This window comes from Homo sapiens, chromosome 3 (genome assembly GCF_000001405.40).
Source record: "Homo sapiens chromosome 3, GRCh38.p14 Primary Assembly".
NCBI lineage: Eukaryota > Metazoa > Chordata > Mammalia > Primates > Hominidae > Homo > Homo sapiens.
Window position 1 is genome coordinate 38171446 of NC_000003.12, and position 26920 is coordinate 38198365.

At 37.6% G+C, this 26920-nt stretch overlaps 1 protein-coding gene across 8 annotated transcripts in view; it reads left to right on the top strand.

Moving 5' to 3' along the window:
- Nucleotides 1-26920, top strand: part of OXSR1 (oxidative stress responsive kinase 1) — a 91422-nt gene that overhangs the window by 7383 nt on the left and 57119 nt on the right. For 6 of the 8 annotated variants that reach the window (XR_007095781.1, XM_011534331.3, XM_017007601.2 and 3 more), the window contains exons 2-3: nt 11558-11670; nt 19286-19394. Coding sequence is in view for 7 of the 8 variants with exons in the window: in XM_011534331.3 (XP_011532633.1) it covers nt 11558-11670; nt 19286-19394 (222 nt within the window). In the remaining variant the exon portion in view is untranslated. Of the gene's footprint in view, nt 1-11557; nt 11671-19285; nt 19395-21836; nt 21974-26920 lie in introns of those variants that run through there. The other 2 variants (XM_047449387.1, XM_047449388.1) reach the window with 1 other exon arrangement.

Here is a 26920-nt window from a genome sequence, read left to right on the forward strand (position 1 = left end):
TGTAATGGTGTCATCTCCATCAAAACACGTACATTTATTTGAACTGTAACATGTTTATTTGAACTGTAATTTTTTTCACATTTGCTTCTCAGCAGTATACTATTTATGGGATTGTTTCTCACATTCTGTTTTGTTCTTCGTCTTTCTGGTAAAATCCTACAGAGAACAGAATCTCCTCTTAGGAACATATTAAAAGCCTATAGATTGAAAATTCAAAGGACTTTTTTTTTTTTTTAAAGAATTGTATCACCTTAAGCATGCTTTGGCAAGATTTGAAGTTCTTTAAGTATGATTATGTGTAAAAGATGTTAGTATCATTCTCACAATTAATCATTGATCTTTCAGTATTTTTGAGCCCTTAGTCTTAGATTAGAATTTCTGAGCATGTGTTATACTGTATTTGGCATGTGTTGAAGCAGCTGTAAAAATTTGGGCTTTGGGGTTAGACTGACCCAGATTCAAATCCTGACATTGCCTCTTACTAGTTATGTGATCTTAGACAAATTATATGATTAGTTTCCGTGTCAGCTTTTTGTCTGTATAGTGGGGAGAATAGTACCTATGTCACTGGGGCCGTTATATAGATTGAGTGTAATTATTTGTGGGAAGTGTTTAGCTTGTATAAAATGATAGTTGTTATTATCTCTGACTTTTTTTTACCCTTCCCCTTGTCCTCATATTTCCCAATTTTTGGTATTGCCATGAAATATGAAATACTATGTGATGTGAAAGCTTGTGACACTTAAAATAGTTTGAATCTGTTTTTAATGCTTAGTGGAACATTATTGCATTTATTTTATTTTCGCATCTTTTTTTTTCTTAGTCCAGGCCTCATTCAGGTTTAGATGGATTTAGGGATTTATGTTGGACATCGTAGTATAACTGTAAGGACCATCACCATGATATTGCTAATAATACAATATGATGGCAGAGAGGGCTGTGCCAGTTAGGTTTTATTGCCCTGCATCTTGAAAAGTCTCAATAAGTATTTACTATTTACCTCAGACTAGAAAATTGAAAACTTAATACTAGGTTTAAGGTGTGATTCACCTAGCTTTGACACTTTGAAGGCAGTGCAATATATTTCTATTCTTGACTTTCCCTTCTTTTTATTTTCATTGATTGTTTACTAGCCACACATTTTGAGTTTAAAGTTGTGGTTTTCAAATACAGATTCCAGGGCCTTACCTTTAGCGCCTCCATAAATGTGAAGGACTTCGTGCTTTCAATAGAGTGGTGCTTAATAGTGTATTTTTCCATTGATTGGGAGACTCAGCTAAGGTGACATTTTCTATGAGGCCAGCATTGGGCCAACAACCTCATAGTGTTGTATCAAATAAGGCTTACATTTCTCTGCATGTGGGGAAAATGGAAATAATAGTGGCTTAATAAAATCCTTTTTCCCCCTTATATAACAAGAAGACTGGAGGTGGCAGCCTAGGTGCTGTCAGGCACCCAGGCTCCTAGTTTTTTCATGCGACCACACTTAGCAGGTGACTCTCCTTCTCATAGTTGGAAGATGGTTGTTCCACCTCTAGACTCATGCTTGTGTTCTTGTCCAGAAGAATATGGCAAAAGGACAAAGACACATGACAGCTGAGTTGGTTCTCTTTTAAAAGGCTTTCTTTCCTAGATGCCTTACTCAGTGACTTCCACTTCTATTTTACTGGCCAGAACTGTATAATTTGGTCATTTGCAAGGCAGACTGCAAAATGAAGCTTTAGCTGGACACATTATTACTTCAAACAAAATAGGTCAGGATTATCTTACTAAAGAAGGGGAAATTGTATGTTTGCTAAGCAACTAAGAATATTGGCCTCATTTTTTTTTAAAATGAAAATAGTCAAATAGGGTATTGCAAGTAAATAATTTAACCTGATGCATAGTAATCAGTTAATAAATGTTAGCTTTAATCTGAAGAGGTAGTTGCCTACTGATTAAGAGCATAATGTTGAAACTCAGGTAGTTCTTATTTCTAGGCCCTACTCTGCCTAACTAACTGTATGACCTAAGTTTTACCTTAATTACATTGCTTTACTTACATTGTCTTGTAAGACCATGAATACCTATCACATGGAATTATTGTAATGATTAGATGAAAAGAAGAAATGTAAGTAAAGAAAGTGCTCAGCATAGACTTGGCACACAGAATGGATGCTCAGTGAATGTTAATGTACATGATGGTAACGATGAAATAACACCCATGAAGACTGGGCTATTTCTGTGTGTGTTCTGCCCCAAACAAGATTTTTTTTCCTTGAAAATATACCCCACTATGTGATTAATTCATTCAGCAAATATTTCTTGAACTCCTGTTATGTGCCAGGCACTGTTCTGGATGCTGGAGATAAAACAATGAAGCAAACACAAAAAATGCCTGCTTTCACAGAGTTTATAATCTAGAAACTCTAAAGAAGAAAAAGCAGGGAAAGGGGTTAGGGACTGCTAGGGGTGGAGGTGGGGTTTCAGTTTTAGGTCAGGGAAAACCTCACTGAGAAGATGACAGTTGAGGAAAGACCTGAAGAAGGTGAAGAAGTGAATGATGTGGTTATCTGCAGGAAGTTTGTTCCAAGCAGAGGACAACAAGAACAAAGGTTCTGAAGCAGAAGCATGCTAATGTGATTAAGGAATGCTAAGGAGGTTTGAGGGCAGCTAGAGCAGAGTAAATCAGAAGGTGAAGAGACAGATAGGTGAAGAGGTTAGAAAGGTAAGGTGGTATGGATGCTTGGTCCTGATTGTCAGGTTGTAAGTTGTTGTAGGAACTTGGCTTTTGCTTTGAGTAAGACTGAAAATCATTGCAGGGTTTTGAACAGAGATTTAACGTGACCTGACTTTCGTTTTAAAACTCAGGCTGCAGGCTGGGCGAGGTGCCTCACCTGTAATCCCAGCACTTTGGGAGGCGGAGGCAGGTGGATCACATGAGGCCAGGAGTTTGAGACCAGCCTGGCCAACACGGTGAAACCCCATCTCTACTAAAAATACAAAAATTAGCTGGGTTTGGTGGTGCATGTCTGTAATCCCAGCTACTCGGGAGGTTGAGGCATGAGAATCGCTTGAACCCGAGTGACAGAGGTTGCAGTGAGCCGAGATGGCGCCACTGCACTCCAGCCTGGGTGACAGAATGAGACACTGTCTCAAAAACAAACAAACAAACACCTCAGGCTGCAATATGAAGAATAGTTTTATAAGGGCACAAGGGTGGAAGGAGGTTATCCAGGGGAGAGAAGTAGTAGTGGAGATGGTGAGAAGTGGTCAGATTCTGGATATAGCATATTTTTTGAAGTTAGGAGGATTTGCTGTTGGATTAGATGTGAGAGAAAGGGAAGATAAGATGATTCCAAGATTTTTGGCTAGAGCATCTGGAAGAATGGAGTTGCCATCCGCTCAGATGGGAGATCACCAGAGTGAACAGGAGAGCGAGTGATGATTCATTGCAAAACCATCAGGCTGCTTGAATACTTACTTGAAGCATATGGCAGTGTCTTTATTTTCATCTTTGTATGGAGAGAATAGCATGATTTTTATGATGATGACTATTCTTACAGATGTTTTGCCAGTTAATTTTCAACATGACTCTGACAAGAGACCTTATTTAGAAAAGGGGTTAACAAAATTGTAAATTCTTATGTTTTGTGTGGTTCAGGTGACAATACTTTAGTCATCTTTCAAAACAGCCTGGGCTAGTGCTTTTCTTCAGTGAATGCAAAACCTTACTAAAATATACTTTAAAATCTTTAGACTATAAGCCTATTATAGTGATGGCTGGGCACAATTTAGGAGAAAATGTGTTCATTTGATTTGATTCATTTAATTCATTTTTTCCTGACAGGAATATCTACTTTTACATTATCTCTCTCTTTTTTAAAAAATTTATTTTTGAGGTGGGGTCTCGCTCTGTTGCCCAGGCTGGAGTGCAGCAGTATGATCATGGCTCACCTCTGCCTCCCAGGTTCAAGCCATCCTCCCACCTTAGCCTCCCAAGTAGCTGGGACTACAGGCGTGTGCCACCACACCCGGCTAATTTTTGTATTTTTTTGTAGAGACGGGGTTTTACTGTGTTGGCCAGGCTGGTCTCAAACTTGTCAGCTCAAGTGATCTGCCTGCCTTGGCCTCCCAAAGTGCTGAGACTACAGGTGGGAGCCACAATGCCCGGCCCTACGTTCTCTCTCTTAAATTTCTAAGTTTAGTAAAGCGGAGAGAAACTGAAATTTTTTCTTAGTCCTGCTCATGCTTGGGCAGATCCTTCTCTGTCTCAAGAAGTAGAGTTACCCAGTTTGAAAGATTTAAGGAGAAGTTTCATCCATATTTTCTGCACATTAATTTATTCTGCTGTGTGACGTAGGCTAACGTTGGTTGCAGTTAAAGAACTAACTAGGAGAGGACAGAAGAAGAGTGGAAGAAGTGAGGATGTAGGATGGGGCATTGAGGAGGCGTGCCAATGTGAAGTAGTGAAAGGCTGAATTAGGATGTTTTATTGCAAATTGTTTTAAATTTTCCATGGTGTTGGTATTCAGATTAGGCCAATGCTTAGTCGAGGGCATTAGGGAAGTAGCTATCACACTTTGACTAAACCATTCCTTTTGTTCTTTAAAAAATTTTTTTTTTCTAAAACATCCTATTATAGCAGACTAAACCATTCCTAACAGATACCTTTTACCCGTATGTATGAATATTTATACTGAAGTAACAGTTTTACAAATAACTTTTGTTTTTGTTATGTGCAGTGTATACTGATATTTTCTATTTGATCCTATTTACATCAAGAAGAATGATGGTAAACCCAGTAAATGGTTAAACAACTGTATTAAGGAACCCTGCTTTGAAGAAGAGATGAAATATTTTTTATTTGTATCTCTAATCCTTCTGTATTATTAGATTATTGCAAAATATTGGTGAATAGTTAAAATAATTATGATAAAACTTTTAGATATTCTTCCATATCGTATTTACATTATTAATTGCTATTTTCTGTGAAGTAAATTTTTTTCTAATGAGAGAACGTCATTGATTATTCTGAATTACTGTTAAAAGTAGTGAGTTTTTACCGCATTACCATAATCTTCTATGTTAGAACCTTAAAATACTTTTCAATTGCTGAAGATTATTTTGACATTTGTTTTGGGAAGATAATATGAAGATGGATGAAAGTGACTGTTAGCATAGAAGAACTGGAGCCTGCAAATCCCTTTTTATCAATGGGTGTGGGAAACATTAGCATCTTGTCATTTGACCATTTGTTAAATCACACCAGAGCATAATATCTTGCTCATGAGAAGATTTGTTCATTAAGTGAATGAATCTTTGAGTGAAAGAAAGATACTTTAGTATCTAAACAATTATGATTGATAATACATATGTTTGGTGTATTGTTATTAGTGAAATTGATTCTGTGTTTACTGATGACTAGAAAATAATAACTAAAGTTAAAATCAAACATTTCTTTATCTACATTTTTAACCCCAGCATGGTTTTGGTTTACATAGGACATGCTATTAATATATTTCAGGTTTTATGTATATAAGATAAATCAATCAGTGTTAGATTATCCAGGGGTAGAATAGCTGCTTTGAGAACTAATACTGGTTAAAAAGAACACCACTGGATAGTACATTTGTAAAAATATTGCAAAGAATCAGTGAACACATCTGCATATTAGAAGATGTCTGTTATCTGGGACCAAAGGTACCTTGCAGAGGCCATGTTATGTCTCCTGTGACTTGAGAAATGCCTTTCTTGTAGATTTGTGACCAGCATGATTAGCTTCCTTCTCCTATTCCGTGGTGTTTCCAAGAGTCAGCCAGTGGCCTCTCACTGAAGGCAAGAGAAAGCAGTTAAACTTTCTTCAGGGCTTCTATGCAGAAATAATTAAGAGAGGATGGGATCTGAGAGGGAGGGAACTTAATGGCAAACACTACCATTCTGCCTCTCTGTCTTACACACATAACAAAGGGAGCTCAGCCAAGAAGCAGATCAACTGCAAACTATTTCAATAGTAGCCTGTTGAATGATTTTTATCAAGTAATAAGTTAATGTTCCTAAACTGTTGTCAAAATTGTTTATGTACACTAGGGGATGATGTTATTGAATGCTAAATATGTTCTTTTCTTTTCTTTTTGATTTCCTTCCTTTCGTTCTCTTTCTTTCTTTTTTGTTTTTTTAGGCAAGGTCTCACTCTTTCACCCAGGCTGGAGTGCAGTGGTGTGAACATGGCTCACTGCAGCATTGACCTCCTGGGCCCAAGCAATCTTCCCATCTCAGCCTCCCCAGTAGCTGGGACTACAGGTGTGCACCACCATGCCTGGCTAATTTTTTTATTTTTCATTTTAGAGACGGGGTCTTGCCATGTTGCCCAGGCTGGTCTTGAACTCCTGGCCCCAAATGATCCTCCTGCCTCAGCTTCCCAAAGTGCTGAGATTACACATGTGAGCCACAACCCCCAGAAGTGTGTTCTTAAATATTGGATTTTATTTTAAATTTTGCATTATGTGAGTTTTGTGCCATTACTTGTTTGTTTGGTTTTTGAGACAGAGCCTTGTTCTGTTGCCCAGGCTGGAGGGCAGTGGTGCAATCTCAGCTCACTGCAACCTCTGCCTCCCAGCTTCAAGCAATTCTTGTGTCTCGGCCTCCTGAGTAACGGGGATTACAGATGTGTGCGACGACACCCAGCTAATTTTTGTATTGTTTTAATAGAGACAGGGATTCGCCATGTTGGCCAGGCTGGTCTCGAACTCCTTGGCTCAAGTGACCTGCCCACCTCGGCCTCCCAAAGTGCTGGGATTACAGGTGTGAGCCACTGTGCCCAGCCCCGTGCAGAGTTTTTACTTAGTTTGTCAGAACTGTGATTTGGATTTATTCATGTTGGTGTTGTATGTATGGTTGTATTTATCCATGTTGGTGTTGCCTATGGTTGTGTTTATTGAGAGATTTTCAAATGGATTTAAATGTAACAAACAAATTCTGTCGAATTATATAGTTATATGTGTAAATCATATATGTATATTTTTTATTTTGGAGACAAGAGTCTTGCTCTGTCACCCAGGCGGAGTGTGGTGGGGTGGTCTCGGCTCACTACAACCTCTGCCTCCTGGGTTCAAGCGATTCTCCTGCCTCAGCCTCCCAAGTAGCTGGGACTGCAGGCCTGCATCACCATATCCAGCTATATATATATATATATATTTTTTTTTTTTTTTTTTTTTCTTTTTTTGTATTTTTTGTAGAGATGAGGTTTCACCATGTGGCCCTGGCTGGTCTCAAACTCCTGAGCTCAAGTGATCTGCCTGCCATGACCTCCTGAAGTGCTAGGTCTATAGGCATGAGCCACCATACCCGGCCTCATGTTAAATTTTTAATGTTTGTAGCACATTAGTATTAGAAATGTGTTGGCACACTTGAAAGGATTTTTAAATAACAGCTTTATTTTATTTTCTTTTACTTTTGAGATGGAGTCTCTCTCTGTCATTCAGGCTGGAGTGCAGTGGTGTGATCATGGCCCACTGCAGCCTCAGACTCCCAGGCTCAAGTGATCCTCCCCACCTCAGGCTCTATACTAGGTGGGACTACAGACGTGCACCACCACACCTGGCTTTTTTTTTTTTTTTTTTTTGAGACAGGGTCCTGCTTTGTCATCCAGGATGGAGTGCAGTGGCATGACCACAGCTCACTGCAGCCTCAACCTCCCAGGCTCAAGCGATCCTCCTACCTCACGCTCCCTAGTAGCTGGGACTACACATGTGTGCCATAACGCCTGGGTAAATTTTGTATTTTTGTAGGGACGGAGTCCCACTATATTGCCCAGGCTGATCTTGAACTCTTGGGCTCAAGCGATCCATCCACCTTGGCCTCCCGAAGTGCTGGGATTACAGACATGAGCTCCCGCCCTGGCCTGGCTAATTTTTTTATTTTTCATAGACAGGGTCTTGCCATGTTGCCCATGCGGGTCTCGAATTCCTGGACTCAAGCAGTCCTCCCGCCTTGGCCTCCCAAAGTGTTAGGACTACAGGCGTGAGTCATTATTTCTGGCCTATAACAGCTTTATTGAGATATAATTCACACACCATAAAATTTATCCTTTTAAAGTGTACAATTCAGCATACTTACAGAGTTGTACAACCATCACCATTAATTCCAGAATGTTTTCATAACTCCAAAAGAAACAATGTACAATTGTCCCTCAGTATATGTGGGGGACTGGTTCCAGGACTCCCAAATTCATGCATACTCAAGTATACCCAAATTCATGCATACTCAAGTCCTGCAGTTAGTCCTGCAGGACCCTCATTGTGTGAAAAGTCAGCCCTCCATATATGTGAGTTTCTCATCCTGTGAATACTGTATTTTCCATCTGCATTTGATTGGAAATAATCTTTTTTTTTTTTTTCCCCAAAATAGAATCTTGCTCTGTTGCCCAGGCTGGAGGAAAGTGGCGCAATCTCAGCTCACTGTAACCTCCACCTTCCGGGTTCAAGTGATTCTCCTGCTTCACCCTCCCAAGTAGCAGGGACTACAGGCGTGTGCCCCCATGCCCGGCTAATTTTTGTATTTTTAGTAGAGACAGGGTTTCACTATGTTGGCCAGATGGTGTTGATCTCCTGACCCCCTGTGATCTGCCCACCTTGGCTTCCCAAAGTGTTGGGATTACAGGCGTGAGCCACTGTGCCCAGCCTGATTTTTGTATTTTTAGTAGAGGCAGGGTTTCTCCATGTTGGCCAGCCTGGTCTCGAACTCTGGTTTCAAGTGATCCACCAGCCTCAGCCGCCTAAAGTGCTGGGATTACAGGCGTGAAACACTGTTCCTGGCGGAAAAAATCTTTAAGTGGACTCGTGCAGTTCAAGTTCACATTGTTCATGGGTCAACTGTACTCATTAGCTGTACTCCCCATTTCTCCCTCTTCAGACCCTGGTAACCACTAATCTACTTTCTGCTTCAATGGATTTTTATAATCTTGGTATTTCATATAACTGGAATCATACTATATACAGACTTTTGTGCCTGGCATCCCTTAGTATGTTTTCATAATGCAAACAGTGTTTTTAGGCATGTGTCCGTATTTGCTCCCTGGCTCATGTCTGTATAGCTCCAACTTTTTTTTTTTTTTTTTTTTTTTTGAGACAGAGTATCACTGTGTCTCCCAGGCTGGAGTGCAGTGGCGTGTTCTTGGCTCACTGCAACCTCTGCCTCCCAGGCTCAAATGATCTCCCACCTCAGCCTCCCAAGTAGCTAGGACTATAAGTGCACACCACCACGCCCAGCTAATTATTTTTGTATTTTTTGTAGAGACAGGGTTTTGCCATGTCGCCCAGGCTGGTCTTGAACTTCTGGACTCAGGCGATCTGCTCACCTTGGCCTCCCAAAGTGCTGGGATTATAGGCATGAGCCACTGTGCCTGGCTATAACTCTGACTACTTCCATTGTCTCATCTCCTCTGACTGACCCTCCTGCTTCCCTCTTTCACTTACGAGGTCCCTTATGATTACATTGGGCCCACCCAGACAATTTAGGATAATCTTCCCATCTCAAGATCCTTAACATCTGCAAAGTCCTTTTTTGCCACATATGGTAACATTCACAGGCTTTGGGGATTAAGATGTACATTTTTGGGAGGCCCGTTATTCTACCTAACGCATGGATTTTAGATCTTTTATCATTATCCCACCATTCCCTAAGGCTTTGTTCTTTTTTTTTTTTTCCCTAGTCTGTTTTCTCTCTGTTGTTTAGATAGAGCAAACTGTTAATCTTGTCTTCAAGTTCACCAAATTTATCTTCTGTCATTTCCACTCTGCTATTGAGTCTGTCCAGCAAATGTTTTATTTTGATAATTGTATGTTTCAGTTGTATAATTTCCATGTGGTACTTTAAAAAGTAAGTTCTACTTCTTTGCTGAGATTTTCTGTTTTTTATTTGTTTCAAAAGTTTTTTTTTTTTTTTTTTTGAGACAGAGTCTCACTCTGTCACCCAGGCTGGAGTGCAAGGGTGCAATCTCAGCTCACTGCAACCTCCGCCTCCCAGGTTCAAGTCATTCTCGTGCCTCAGCCTCCCGAGTAGCTGGGATTACAGGCACCCACCACCACACCCAGCTAATTTTTGTATTTTTAGTAGAGATGGGGTTTTAAACCATGTTGGCCAAGATGGTCGCGATCTCCTGACCTCGTGATCCGCCTGCCTCCCAAAGTGCTGGGATTACAGGCGTGAGCCACCATGCCCGGCCTGTTTCAAAAGATTTTGTAGTCGTTTGTAGAAGCACTTTTATGACGGCTGCTTTAAAATTCTTGTCAGGTAATTCCAACATCTGATTTATCTTGGTGTTGGCATCAGTACGATCGTGTGGTCATCTTTTTTCTTTTCTCATTCACGTGTGCTTTTCCTGGTTCTTGGTATGACATGTCATTTTTTTTTTTTTATTGTACCTTGGACATTTAGGTTATTATGTTAGGAGACTTTTTTTGTTTTATTTTTCTTTAATGAGACAGGTTCTTGCTATGTTTCCCAGGCTGGTCTCTAACTCCTGGCCTTAGATGATCCTCTTGCCTCAGCCTCCTGATTAGCTAGGATTACAGGTGCATGCCACTGCACCTGGCTGAGACTCTTGATCCTATTTAATTCTTCTCTTTTAATAGGTAGTTACCCTATTTAAGTTTAGTGTATAGCTCTTGTCCTACTTTTGTGAGCTGTAATCCTATGGTAATTCAGTTTTCAGATCTCTTGGAATGCTATTTTTTTCTGTTTTATTCTTCTGGCACCTCTAGAACTCCCGTTCTATCTCTGCAGCTGCCTGGGCTGACCTGTGGATGTGGGGCCCTGGCTTTGCTGCTGCTAAGGGCAGATTGGCTTGACATTGCCGCACGTGTGGGGTAGACACCTGGCTGGCGCTGTGGAGAATCTGGCCTGCTACTGTTTCAGGCATAGTGTGGAGACCCTGCTGATGCTGGGGAGGACTGGGTTCACCACTGTCCTGGATGGGGACTGGAAAATGTATCTCTCTGCTAGGTCTCTGCTGAGCTGCCCCTTTCATAGACTGTTGGCCAGAGAGAGCAGAGTTTTCTCATTTATTTATTTGTCTTTATCTGCCTTATCCATCCATTTTTGGTGTTCATTCCAGTTTACAAGCCTCTCTGGTGTCCAGTCTGGGATATTTGGGAGATAAAGGGAAAACCCAGTGAACTTACTGTGGTGTTTTCTTGAAGTCTTGAGATCCCTAACTAGTCTACCTCTCTCTTTTCTACCTTTCAGAGCCCTCTTATGATTGTTTGTTGAATTATTTTTAGGCTATTTAGTTGTATTTGGAGGAGAGGAGTGAGGAAATGTGAGCCTATGCCATTGTATCCTGGAACTGGAATACTAGCAGTTTAGATATTTTTTTTGCACTGGTATTTATTGGCAGTACATATGAAATGGTTGAGGCTTTTGTTTTAACTGACACTCTTTAGAGCATTTTTCTCTATCTGTTATGCGCTGTAGGAACAAGATAAGGATTACTCTTGTTTAAATTGTATGGGAATTAGAAATGTCATGTTTTTATATATCCATCTACTTATTTACTCTTTTATGTATTTGTTTTTAGGGAGTGGAGCAACTGCTGTAGTCCAAGCAGCTTATTGTGCCCCTAAAAAGGAGAAAGTGGCAATCAAACGGATAAACCTTGAGAAATGTCAAACTAGCATGGATGAACTCCTGGTATGCACATCTTATACTTCTGAAATGGAGAGATATACTCATATATTCACATTACAATGGGAAATAACTTGAAGTTTTTGATTTGTTTCTTTTTAAAAAAGTTTATGATTTCTTCATTAATAAATAATATTCATTGTAAAATTTATAAAGTCTGGATAAGTAGAAAAAAATTAGTTATAATATTCTTACTCTGAGACTAACATTTAATATGTAACCTTTCAGAGTGAACATTTGAATATATTTGTATTTTTATGATAATGTAGTCAGATTCTTGCTCTTTTCATTTAATAATTTATCATAGAACTTTTTCTGTGTCTGTAAATATGGATCAGTATCATTTACAGTGTGTTTATAGTATTCTGTTGAATAGACCACACTTTATTAACTATGATATTTGCTAATTACTTTGTTTCCTCTTTTTTATTGTTATAAACAATGCTTGCTTTTCTATTCCCTTAAAATAATACCATGGAATTGTGATTCCTGGGTCAAGTGGAATATCCTTTGAAAGGCTCTGGCCTTTTAAACTTTCATTCTAATGCTGGATATAAGACAAGAGATAGAATGACCCCCAGGCAGCATTAGCTTCTTCAAAGGCTAGGGAAAGGAAGAAGAAAGGGAAGTCCCAAGCAATAGCTGTAAGAATGTTCTGTGACATTAAAATGTAACCATACAGGGATTGTATTGTATTTTTTTTAGGCATTGTGCTACCCAGAATAGTTTTAAGTATATAGTAAGTGCTCAGCAAGGGAAATTAGTTTTTAAAATTACTTATTATTGTTTCAAAATTTTCAGTTTCTTTGGCTTAATGAAAATAATAATACTTGCTTTGGATACCTTTTGAGGTTTTTCTTGAGGCTCAAATGATACAGTATTTGAAGACTCTAAACTGCCATACAAATGTGAACTAATATTGTTACTTTATTAAGTAATTTCTTTAAGAGCATATACAGCTAGTGCTAGAAAGGTCGGGTATTAGAACTGGAATGACCTGCCCATCCAGAAGTTTTTTTCACTGTCCCAAATTGTATTTTATTTCTGGTGGTGTCTGTACTGAGTATTAGGGAATAATTGGAATTAAAGAAAAAGAGGTAATGGAATTATATATTGCATAATATATAATTATATATGAGATGGACGAGACAAATGTATTTCTTTAGGAATTGGTAATGTACGAGCAGGAGCTGAAGGAGTGGGCTGCTGGAATGATCTTGAGCCATCTTTGGTGAGAGAATGCATACTTCGAAGGAAATGCTGATCGAAATCTTATTTTAAGATCTTGGATTGATACATACAATAATACTTTAGAGCACCATTTGGACACTTGAACTGCAGTGATGATAAAAGAAGTCGATAAACTGCGAACTAATTCTGTTAAAGAAAAACAAAAATGTTAACCTACATATTAAGACTAGAATTTGGGAAGTCCAATATGAAGACCTATAATTTGCCAGTTAGTTAATCCATAAGGATAGAGTAAAATGAATGAAAGTCTTATTATTTACTGCTTCATGATTAAGCTGAGGCTCAAAGTTTAAATAACTTAAGTTCACTTGATGATAATAGCAAACATCTTTCAGTGCTAGGTACTTCAGTGTACTTTAACCTCACACACATCTCCATGAGCTAAGTAGTAGCTGTTTTCTAGATGAAGGAAGTAAATCATATAATAAGTGATAGAGTCTGGATTAAAAATCAGGTCTTTCTGACTTAAGTCTATTATTGTCTGCTTAGTATAGTACTAACAAAATGATTATAATCTTAGTTCAAAAGTAGAAAGAACATTTCTTTTTTTTTTTTTTTTTTTTTTTTTTTTTTTTTTTTTTTTTTTTTTTTGGGTTTCTTTGAGATGGAGTCTCGCTCTGTCTCCCAGGCTGGAATGCAGTGGCGCGATCTCGGCTCACTCTGACCTCCGCCTCCCAGGTTCAAGCAATTCTCCTACCATTGCTTGAACATTGATCGCACCATTGCATTCCAGCCTGGGCAACAGAGTAAGACTCCATCTCTGAAAAAAAAATTGAATACGACTTACACATATAACTATATAATTCGACAGAATTTGTCTTCATTACATTTAAATCCATTTGGAAATCTCTCACTAAAGCGACACAAAGACAACCATAGGCAACACCAACATGGATAAATCCAAATCACAGTTATAACAAACTAAGTAAAAACTCTGCACAGGGCCAGGCACAGTGGCTTACGCCTGTAATCCCACCACTTTGGGAGGCCAAGGCGGGTGGATCACTTGAGCCAAGGAGTTTGAGACCAGCTTGGCCAACATGGCAAAACCCTGTCTCTATTAAAACAATCAAAAATTAGTTGAATGTGGTGGTGCACGCCTGTAATTCCAGTTACTCAGGAGGCCAAGGCACAAGAATCACTTGAACCTGGGAGGCAGAGGTTGCAGTGGGCCAAGATTGTGCCACTGCACTCCAGCTTGGGTGACAGAGCAAGACTCTGTCTCAAAAAACAAACAAGAAACGGCACAAAACTTATATAATGCAAGATTTAAAATAAAATCCAATATTTAAGAACCTGCTGCTAGGGGTGGTTGCTCACGCCTGTAATCCCACCACTTTGGGAGGCTGAGGCAGGAGGATCACTTGAGGCTAGGAGTTCGAGGTTAGCCGGGGCAACGTGGTGAGACCCCATCTCTAAAATGAAAAATAAAAAATTAGCTTGGCATGGTGGTATGCACCTGTTATTGCAGCTACTTGGGAGGCTGAGGTGGCAAGATTGCTTGAGCCCAGGATGTTGATGCTGCAGTGAGTCACGTTCATGCCACTGCATGCCAGCCTGGGTGACACAGAGTGAGGCCCTGTCTCAAAAAAAAAAAAAAAAAAAAAAAAAAAAAAAGTCATGTGAAAGAAAGGGGAGGAAGAGAGCTTCTAATTGTGAAAATGGAGGACTTTGTGGAAATGTTTGTGGCCTGGGCCACCAGGGCTGTGTAGACTTTAAACAGGCATAGATAGCAAGTCTGCTTGGCAGGGGTTTAAAATCAGGAAAGAATAGTAGACAGCCTAGAAACCATAAAGAAGAAATAATAAGTGAAAAAATTAGGATTTTATTTGATAGGAAATATTGATTAGCTACAGAAATAGAGGCAAGTGTCTTTGAAGATTTTTTTTTTAAAGGGAAATGACTTCATTAGAACTGAGTTTTAGGAAGTTTAGTTTTATAATACTTTTTAAAACATAACAGCTTTATTGATATAAAATTCATGTATCATAAATCTACCCTTTAAAAATATATAATGCTATGGTTTTTAGTTTATTCGCAAAGTTGTGCAACCATCACCACTATCACCCCAAAAAGAAACTCCATACCCATGACCACTCATTCTTTATTCTTTCCTCCCCTCAGCCCTAGGCAATCACTAATCTACTGTCTGTCTGCATAGATTTGCCTATTCTGGACATTTCATATAAATAGGTTCATACAATATGTGGCCTTTTGTGTCTGGCTTTCATTTAGCATGTTTCCAAAGTTCATCCATATTGTAGCATGTATCAGTTCTTTTTTCCTTTTTTATTGGTGAATAACAGTCCATTATATAGATATACCACATATTGTTTGTCCTTTCATCAGTTGTTGGGCATTTGGGCTGTTTCTACTTCTTGGCTTTTATCAGTAATATTGTGATGAACATCTGTGTGCAAGTCTTCATATGTACATTTGTGTTTTATTATCTTGAGTATATACCTAAGAGTGGAATTGCTGGGTAATATGGTAACTCTGTGTTTAACTTTTTGAAAAACTGCCAAGCTATTTTCCAAAGTAGCCGTACCATTTTACATTCCCACCAGCAATATATGAGCTTTTCAGTTTCTCTATATCCTCACCAATACTTGTTATTGTTCATCTTTTTTTGTCATAGCCATCCTAGTAGATTAGTTCTGTAATATTTGGCAAAGTGAATTGCAAAGGAGTAAGACATCAGTGGCAAAGAGACTAGTTGGTAGGCTTTGCTGTGGTCTAGACCAACAACTTTATAAAACTTTGAAAATAAGACCCTCACTAAGAGAGATACATTCTATCATTACCTGGTATTTAAAGATATATATTCATAAATATTATAACTGAAACATTTTCATATTATATAGAATATACTCTCATTTTCTATCCTATTTATTCATCTTTTTAAAATACAATCCACTAAATTTATTTCATGACCCACATAGATTACAACACATAGTTTGAGGTACACTGTGCTATACAGAGATATCGAGACTCTAAATTCAGGCAGTGATGGTGGTAATGGAAAGGAAAACACAGATTTCCTGGATGGAAAATACATTAGTAGTAGAATGAGCACTCAGTTAAGGCAGAGACTTTATTTTGTTTATCCTATATGAATGAATGAATAAATTAACATTATTTGGGTGTGTGAAATGGAGGAAAACTGACTACATTTAGGGAATTAGAAAACCAGAAAGTAATGGTAGAAATGATGGTGAGTGAGTTTCACGAAGGAATAAAAAGTTACCATTAGAAAAAAAAGGCTTCAGAAAGCTTGAGGTGGAGAACTAAATAGTTCAAACAAAAAATCTGGCTCTAGCAGACAATAAAAGATTTTCAAGAAAGCAGTTTCATTAGAAGGGGTGGAATTCACTTTATTTATTTATTTTATTAATTTATTTTTTAAATAGAGGCGGAGTCTCACTCTGTTGCCCAGGCTGGTCTCAAACTCCTGGGCTTAAGGGATCCTCCTACCTCGGCCTCCCAAAGTGCTGGGATTATAGGTGTGAGCCACTGTACCTGGCCTATAAAGGAATTCACTTTATAGGTGGTTGAGGAAGCTGCTGGGTAATTTAAGTCAGTATTCATATACCACTCTTGTGAATCATTTATATATTTATTTTTCTTTTTGAAAGGAGGAAAGGATAACTCTACTGGTAGTTAAGGTACAAGAAGATTCCCCCTTCCCCCTTTAAAGGAATAGAAGGCAAGAAAAAGAATATTTAAGCCCCTTTTCATCTTTGGATTTTGTGTTTTTTTGATAGTCTTTTGCTAGAAAACCCTTTGTAGTACTCCCCTTTTCAGATTAAAGCTCAAAACCCTTAGCTTAACATTTAAGACCTTCCACAATTTGACCCTAACTCTTTACATTGTCACTCTCTCATGTGATTTTTCTTTCCTTCACCTTCCCTATCAGTTAGTCACCAAATCCTATTGTTTGTACCTCTCTATTATTATCTCGACTCTTCCCTTTTCATTCATACTGTCACTAACTTTTTTAACCTTTTCTTTTGAAATAGCTTAAAACTTACAGAAGAATTGCAAAAGTAGTACAGAGTTTCCTTATGCTATCCACCCAACTTGCGCTAATATTAATATAACTGTAGTACAGTAATCAGAACTGATAAATTAGCTGTTTATCATTTCTCCATCATCTCTCACTCACATGGTGGCAACAGCTTAAACAGAAGCTTTGTCTCCAGTCTTGTCTTCTTCATTGATTTTCTATGTGGTATCCAAGGGTAATTTATGAAAATGTATAATATAGTTAAACCTTTGATATCTTTCCGTTGCTGTTAGGATGAAGCCTGATTTTTAAATATACTTTCAAAGTCCTTTATGATCTAGTCCCAGGTAATTAAACAATCAACAATCTTAAAAACCTACTTACCTTTCCTGTTGCAGTGTTAATGCAGGAAACTTCCAAGCCTTCCATGTTATGACTCCTATTTTTTAATGTGCCTCTCCAATGAAATCATGTAGTGTCTAGTACTTCCCCTGTCAAGCTGTTTATTATTCTGTATTGTAAAGTAGTATTTGTCTAACTTCTTTACCAAACTGTAAGTTTCATGAGGACTCCCCATGTTGATCGAGTACCTAGCACTATACCTGGCACGTAGTAGGGATTATAGTAGGTGCTTAGTATTGTTAATATGTGTTGAAAACATGAACTTCTTATCCTAGACAGATTTACTCATTGGATGTCTTAGGTATGTCATCATTTATGAAAATCATATGTACCTATCATCTTGTACTGTTATTTCTCCCTATCCTATAGAATTAAACATGGTTCCCACCTATTCTGTAAAGGCTTTTTTTGATCACACTTGCCTACCTTAATTGTTCTTTCCTATAGATTCTTATAACATTTATCTTTTTTTCCTTCATGCTGTTTCTCAGCAGAATCATCTTGCAACATTAACATCTTTACTACTCATTTGGTACCTATATGCTCTCTTATCTGTTTCCTCTTATGTGTACTTACCTTTCCTTGAAATTCTGTATAACTATGTTAGTAGCAAGGTGCTTACTTTAGTTCTTTCTTCCTTTTCTTTCATATTTACTTAGCTTTTAGTACAGAAGACCGTGCTGGTGACTTTGGGGTTGCAAGATATGTATGGCAAGATCCTTGCCATAAAGGAAGTTGCATTCAAGTAAAGATGATGAGAAATTGAAAGTTAGCATTTATTGAGTACTCCTTATCAGTCAGGGATTATGGACGACTTTCACACAGTTGATCTTATTGAACAAATCCCAAGGGCATAGGGCAGGTACATTAATAGGTGAAAAGCCTTATAAAGTGCTGTAGTATTTCATTCATTCAACAAATATTTATTGAAGGTGTACTCTGTGCCAGGCACAATGATATGTGCTAAGAACAGTTTTAGTTCTCACTGAGCTTACAGTTTTGTGGGGGATGTCAAAAGAAATAGGCAATTATAGTATAGTCAGATAAGTTCCACAGTGATTGAGAATCTACTTTTGAGTACTTGCCTTCATGGAGCTCTCAGCCTAGAAGGGAGAGACAGACAGATAAGCACACAATGTACTATCCAGTATTTTATGTACCATGATGGGAGGAGACATACAGGGTGCTTGGAAGCTAAGAGAAGGAGCATCTAACTAAACCTGGGAAGCTGGGAGGAAATTTTGTCTAGACTGAGATCAGAAGGAAGAATTGGAGTTAGCTAAGCAGAGATGATAGGGGAAGTGTATTTGAGGCTGAGGCACAATAGGGTTAAATGTCCAGAGTTAAAAGAAGGTAAACAGGGCCCTGATCACACATGGCTTTATAAGGCATTTTGTCATACCAAATCTAGTTTAAAATCATAAGCTGAGATAGAGTAAGCTTAGATTTTTGGCTCAGATTTCTACTCTGGATTTAGTTTTTGACGTTGTCCTGTTTCAGTTTGTTTCTCTTTAGTGTGAGAATTATTTCACAAAAATGGAATGAAGTAATATTTTGCAAAGAAAAAAAAATCCCTACACAAACTATAAAAAAACCCTGTTTATTAGTTAATATCTTTTATAGCTATAAAACCAGATTTCCCAAGATGGTTCTTCAAGGGCACCTTGAAGCAAAAATATATGTCCCAAAGGAGGCCTCCTGGAGTGTTGTGCCAGGGTGTGTTAAATAGTGTGCTTCTAGTTTGAAAGATTACTAGTGTAATGAGTGAAGGAAATTGAGTCAGAATGGACTGAGGGAGACAAAGTGGTTTTATTGGTTTAACCCTTCTTGAAGAAATCAGAGCCATGGAGATCCCAGAAAGGTGTGACACAGTCTTGAGATTTCAAAATCTGGATTTGCTAACTCACAACATTTGTTTTAGGCTTGCATATAATGAATTATTATGTTTTCTCTTCTTTGTAGAAAGAAATTCAAGCCATGAGTCAATGCCATCATCCTAATATTGTATCTTACTACACATCTTTTGTGGTAAAAGATGAGCTGTGGCTTGTCATGAAGCTGCTAAGTGGAGGTGAGTAGAGTACAAGGAAATGCTATAAGTACCATGGTTTGAAAAGTTAGTAAAAGTTTCCTTCTTTTCTATCCTGATTTCGTTTTCATGGACATTTGCATTTGAGGAGATACTGAAAATATAGTATTTGCTGAAGATGCTAATCTATGAGCCAAGACAGTTTTCACACATTGCATTTGATTCATTTTGTTGTCATGCTGCTTAAATCTCTCTTAATTCTTTTTAGAGACTGTCTGGCTCTGTCACCCAGGCTGGAGTGCAGTGGTGCAATCATAGCTCACTGCAGCCTCAAAACTCCTGGGTTCAAGTGATCCTCCCATCTCAGCCTCCCAAGTAGCTGAGACTACAGGCATGTACCACCATGCTCAGTTACTTTTATCATTTAATTTAATATAATTTTTTTTTTTTGGAGATGGGGTCTCACTATGTTGCCCAGGTTCATGTCTTAACTCCTGTCTTCAAGCGATCCTTCCTACTTGGCCTCCCAAAGTGCTGGGATTACAGGTGTGAGCCATTGTGCCTGGTCTAAATCTCTCTTAATTTAGGATGCTTCCTTCTTGCTTCCTCCCTTCCATGATGTAAACTTACTGAAGAGTCTAGTCCAGTTATCTTGTAGAATATGCCATATTCTGGATTTATCTAAGTATTTCTTCTTGGTGGTATTTAACTTGATCTGTAGTCCTCTATTTCTTGTATATTGAAAATTAGATCTAAAGGCTTGATTAAATTCAGGTTAAATATTTTGTAGGAGGATACTTCTTGGTGATGCTGTGTATTTCATATTGTATTACATCAGGAAATATTTGCTATCTGGTTGAATCTTTAATAGTGATGTTAGTTTTGTTTGCTTAAGATTAGGACAGCCAGGGCTCTCCATGGAAAAGGTAACATTTCCCCCTTTGTAGCTAGCAAGTAATCTTACTTTGTAAGTATCCAGTTCTCCATAAGTCTTTTATCTTAATGATTTTCACATTCGTTGTTTGAATCCTTGTTTGAGTCAGTTATTTCATCAGGGGTTGTAAAACGGTGATTTTTCTTACGGCATCATTTCTTTTATATTTATAAACTGACATCCTTCTATGAAGAACTTTTCGTTATCAACTGGGACGCTGATTAATCTGTACTCTAGTTCCTACTGAAAAGGCAAGATAAATAATGGAGTCTTTTTTAAGGATCAAGTTTTAGTGTAAAATGTTGGTTTAGTAATCATCTCCAGTGGTAGCAACTGAGAGGGTTTAAAAATTTTCCTTTTTCCAGTTGGGTAGGGCCTTCACTTTTTCAAGTATTATTATAGACCCAAGGATTTTTATGTATTCAGTGTCTTTCCATCAGTTATACTCTATTCTTTTTGATATGCAGGTTGTCCAAAATTTGTCAGGGGGAGCCCTTTTAAAGTCACTCTTGTGTCCTCTTGACGTGAACCCATCAGTCTTTCATTACATCCTTAACTTTATAATTCAAGATTCCCGAGGGTTATATTTGTATTCATTTTCCCAGACCCTGAATCAGCCAATACTCTAATGAGCTTTGGTATTTTTTCCTCGGGAATGGTACTTAGAAAGCATAACTTGGATGCTTGGAGTGCTCATTACTACTTCATTGCTTCCAGAGCTTGGAAATATATTAAAAATAAAATTATAATTTGACATCAATACAAGTTTCCAATACAAGTTTAATATCATGGACTTTTTAAGCTTGAATCTCTTTTCCTTTACACACAAAATCTTGGTACGCAATATTAACATAATTACTTAAGTGCTTTATCTTGCAGTATATATACAAGTATTTCTACTTTATTCTTAGAATAAAATATAAATATTGCTGATTGCAAACTGTGAAACCTTGGCATGTATAGATCGAACATTTTGTTTTGGTTACCCAAAAGCTCATGCCATTTGGTAAATTAGTCATTTTGCCAAGGCATGGATTTGAATCACATGGCAAGACTTTGTAGGACTAGTTAGTGATGGAGCCACACTGGCCTTCCTATCACTGTGCTGGTTGGTTTTTGCTTGCATGTGTATTTTGTGGGGGAGTATGATTTTTCATCTTAGAATGTAGAGTTACAGAAAAGATAATCCACATTTGTTTAGTTTGCAGTTTTATTGCTGTATCTCACTGAACACCATACTTCCCCAGAGAGACTATAAACAACATAAGGCTTTAGAATTAAATTTCAGTTTTTCTACTTAGCAATTGTATGTCATTGGGAAAACTCTTTCAGCTCTTTGAAACTTTTTACTTGTCTGTTAAATGTGGGGTTACCTTTCTGCATTTCAGGGTATTGATGAGGAGTAAATGAGATGATACATGTAAATCATCCACCACTGTGCTGACATTTAATAGGTGCACAAGAAATTTTAGTCATTAATAGTAATAAGCCCTTGTTATTTGATGCTTTTCAGTGTAGCCAGAATCACCTTTTTGTTTCAATCCCATTAGTGACACACTGGAGAAACTGGATTGCTTTGTTAAAGGCCCTGTTCATATGATGGTTGGAAGCTTTGCTAACACCAACCACCTTTCAAGATGGTGGTCAAGCATGGTTCTTTCAGTATGGAGAGATATGGGAGTATTAGGTAATACTGTATCTTTCGTTATTGATCACCTATAGCATAATTTTCTTTATTTGTAATTTACGAGAATATGTAATACAACATTTTTAATGTTTTGCAAAAAAGTCCTCTGATGAATGGGAATAAATTGTCTGCTTAATTCTCTCGTCCATATCTGTATGCCAGCCTATGCTTTCTGCTACTCCTAAGCAGAACGACTTTTTTTTTTTTTTTTTTAAGAATTCCTGTTCCTCTCTCAGTGAGTATATGTCTTGATCATAGAAGGGGCAGGACATGTAGATGGATGGAATGTCTTTTAAATGTAGCTCTTTGTCCCTCTTGGTCTTAAGTTTTCTGGGACATTACCCAATTTTTCTAGCCTAGCACTCAGCAGATTTCCTGGAGGATAATTTTCAAATATGTTCCAGTTAGTCATAACTCTTTTTATAAGTGCCTATATTTTTATGAGTCAACATGATCATTACATCTAAACCTTTTAAATATTAAAAATTTTGCATTTTTTTAGGAAAATGAAATCTTTTGTTGTTATAAAATGAATAAACATTTAAACTGAGATGAAACGTTAGGCAACATTTAGAAAACAAAAGTTAGAACTAAGCACAGCTTAAATTTTTTTTTTAAACAGGAGGAAGATGTGTCAGGATTATAGCTTAATTAAAATGCCATTCATCAAATACTTATTGATCTCCAGTACATTGGTGAATAAAGCTATCAGATTCTTGCTCTTGTGGGCTATGGGAACAAATTCCAGGAGAACTTAACCTTATTGAGGGAGAACAGTTGCAGTGAGATTAACTAAAACTTGCCTCTGGAGGTGAAGTCCAACTGAGATCTAAAGAATAAGTAATAATTGGCTGGGTGAGGTGGCTCATGCCTGCTGTCCCAGTGCTTTGGGAGGCTGAGGCGGAAGGATTGCTTTAGGCCAGGAGTTCAACAGCCCAGCCTGGGCAACATGGCAAGACCCTGTCTCTACCAAAAATAAAACAATTAGCTAAGCTCGTACATGTAGCCCTGGCTACTTGGGAGGCTGGAGGATAGCTTGAGGCCAGGAGTTTAAGGTTACGGCAAGCCATGATCTTGCCACTACAGTCTAGCCTGGGTGACAGAGTGAGACTCTGTCTCTAAAAAAAAATTAAAAATTAAAAAGAATAATAATTAGCCAGGTGAAATGGAGGCTGGAGTTAGTACTGGGGAAAGATGGGAGATGTGATCCAGCTAGAGAGAATACTGTGGAAACGGGGATGGAGACAGGATGGAGTGTGTATGTCTTGAGAACTGACAGATTCACAGCTGGAGCAGAGAGAATGAGAGAAGAGGACTATTGGTAGAGGCTTACTGATAAGCAAAGACTCCCAAAATTAAAAAATATAAATAACCAGAGTTAACAGAAATATGTATAGGGTACCTTCTTTCATATCACCTTTTTAGTCAGAATATTGAAAACAAAAGCACAGTTTTGATTTAGGAACGTTGTACTGTTGTAGAATTTAATAAGGTAATTAAATCATAAAATGAATAGTGAGTGTCACTCTTACCCCACCAACCAGGTGTACATCCTGGTTAAAATAAGTTTAATTGTGTCAATATTATAATCATTTAATGATGCTTCATTATAACTGTAATATTCCTATCTTTGCTAGTTAAAACTGTCATGTTGAATGTTGGGATTTATTACTGCAGGAAGTTAAGCTTTAGAAGTTAGAAGCACTTTTGGTATAAATAGCTATTTCCAGTTTATTAGCACTAAACTGCAAATGTAAGCTTTTTAGAAATCAAAGTAATTAAGAAAACTTCTGAGAGGAAAAAAAAGGTACCTGTAGTACTTAAAGGGAGTAAGTGTAGAAATGTAGAAATCTAATGTAAATTCACTGTCTTAGATGGTTGTTTAAGGATGCCCTCAACTTTGTCTTTTTCTAAGAGATAAAATGCATGGGGACTTCCTTGATCTAAAGGAGGATCCAGGTAAAATGTCTGATACTAATAGTGACCAGCTTTGGATGTTCAAGCAACAATGCAGGGTTTTAAAATTTCTGTAACATCTTTTGGTCTAAAATGGAATACTCAGACCAAGCAAATTTTGGCCTCTTTGAAACCTTCTGAGGCTTAGGAAGACATAAGCAATAACTGTAGTAGCTAAAGATTTATTAAAACTTCCTAGTAGAGATACCAGTAACTAAGTTGAATGAATTGATTTTATATTTAAAGAGTATCTTTTCATACTAGTAAGGTGAGGAAATTAACTTGTTGATGGGGTCATTACTTTGATTGAGTTATAATTTTCAGACTTATCAAGTGTCTGAAGCCAGCAGCTGCTTCACTACTTTGTCAATATTATTTTGATATTCTGTAATGATTTTATTGTACAATTAAAGTTTTGCATTGCTTTTTAAATGTTCCATGCCACAGGCTATGAAGCCTGACAGGGGATTATTTTTTGGGAATAGATGATCTACATTTAAACTTTTTGCTTTGTTACAAAATTTGTACCAAATACCCTGTTTCCCATTATTTGATTTATTTACTTTTATTCTGAAAAATGTTTGGATTTTAACGGACAGCTTTCATCAAAATAAGTTGTTAAATGCCTTTTAAAATCCAGCTTCTTGGGCCCTACCTCAGTTCTCTTGAATGACTGTCTTATAGGGCCTGGGAATATGCATTTTTACTAGCTTGCCAAGTAATTCCTTCACACATTAAAGTTTGAGAACAGATTATCCCTATATACTATTTCTTACAAGTTGTGCGTGAGGACAAAATACTACATACGCGGTTATAACTTTCCCTCATTATTCCTACTTTAGGTATTAATTGGGTTATTCAGTGATAATCTACTTCTTCCTTTTGCTTAGCATATTTTCTCTTCACCTTTCTCTTAGCTGACCTGCATTCTTTATAATTTTGATATTTGAGGATGGAGGATTATAAACACCGTCATCGAGTTAGAGGCTACAAGAGGCTTAGAAAACCAAATGGATAAGAAGCGGGGGAGCTTACAGGACCAGTATCTCTCAGTTAAGGATGAAGGTCTTAGTGACGATTAGTGTCTTAGTGACGATTCCTCCACCCATAAGAATTATCTTGTTGGGAGGAGTTTGAAACTGAAGATAAATTGTTATGCCAAAGAAGAAGGGTTTCTTCTATAAACTTTGTTCAAAATGTCTGTTCTGGACATAGACTAGAGATGTGCATTGCTTTAATCTTCCCATTGATCATTGGATGATGTGAAATCAATACAAATCTAAAAGTTTGAAAAGGAGTTCCTGCTTCAAACTCTTTGCAGACTTAGTCACTTTTTATGTGCCCCAAGATATTTGATGCTGCATTTGTTTCATCTACCAGACTAGAAGTTCCCTTAAAGTTAGCAATCATGTCATGTATATCTTGCCATATTTGGTGGCACCCAGTCTTAGATCTCACATGTAATGTAATAGGGCTTAATTGTTAAGTGAATAAGTTGTGTTAATTTTTCATTTCCAGTAGGAATTGGTTTTCCTTTGCATTCCCTATTTTAGGTATTATGTTATAAACAGTGTTTACGATAATTTTAGGTATTACATTGTAAACAGTGTTTATGATCATTGTTAATATAATTGTTTTCTTACTAAGCAGTACTTATGTGGCCTGGATTTCCTGAACGGTGAAACATGTGGCCCTTTGGTATAATCACTTTGCTTTGGGGATTAATGTGTGGTTGATTAAGCAGAACAAACTTCTTCCTTAGGTCTCTCCCCTTCTGGATCACAAGCTTATGAATTCCAGCAATGGAGAGGGGAAAGAACCAGTGTAATAATGTGTTAGGAAAACCTGTCTGGAAGCTATCTGGAGAGTGAGTCTCTTTGGTTCACTCTTCAGAGAATAAACTGCCTATCTCCTATTGGAGGTGAAGAGTTAGTAGGCAAGCCTCCGGGGAGGAATAGGAATCTGAGAATCTTACTCTGTCTTATCTGAACTTTCAACCAGTTTTTCTGTTTTCAACCCTTTCCTTCACTTCTTCCTCACTTGGTGTGGGGAAGTATGGTACTTGGTGTGTGTAGTTCTGAGACTTTCTGGAGCTCTGGGTAGGGATCACGTTGTCCTAAATGGCATAGCTCCTCTGCAAGCACTGAAGTTCAGATTTCTCCACTGTGCTTAGTTACTTTTTCTTTTTCTGCTATCTTCCAGAATATTGTTGCCATCTCTCTTCTGTTATCTTTCCTGTTCTCTTTTTAAATTATGGGTTTATGCCTTTTTAATCAAGTTTACCAAGTTAGTGGATTTTAAGTAGGAGCTAAAATAAACTTGCGTTCAGTCCTTCATGTTTTTGAGAATTCCATCTTCTTTCTATGTATTTGGAAGTATATTTTTTCTTGTTAAAGTGTGTGAAGTAAAAGTACCCAGTAGGGCAAGTTTTTAAGATAACTATGTAAGCAGTTGTTTTGATTTTAGTCTTGATCATTGAGGTGTTGTACAAAGAAATGGGTATTGAATCTTTTCTTTGCAGTCTATGTAATGTTCTAGACTTCTTGGCACAGTTGCTAATATTGTTTTGTTTTGGTTCTGTGATTGTTATGGGCCATTATGTGGCCAGAAATCTTACAAATTTCCACCAAACTTTTTACTGATTATAATCTTCAGTTTTGGTAGTCAGCACTGTGCTTTTAATTACTATATAGGTGTCTTTTCCTCCTCTGCCTTCAACCTTTAGTAGGAGCATTATTTCTTATCCTGGGAAGTTTAGGATTGATAATACAGCTGGACTGTTACTTAAAAAGAACTGTTATTTTTATTCTTTTTGTATTTGTCTTTGCCTTAGCTCTTTTATTTCTATAATTTATTAACCTGAAAAATAATTTTAGTCCTAAGTTAGTTTGTGTATGTATGTGATCCTTACCCTCCAAGTATTTCGCTCCTGATTTGATTGGCATTTCAATTGTATTTTTATATCTTTAGTCATACAGCAGTGCATATTCT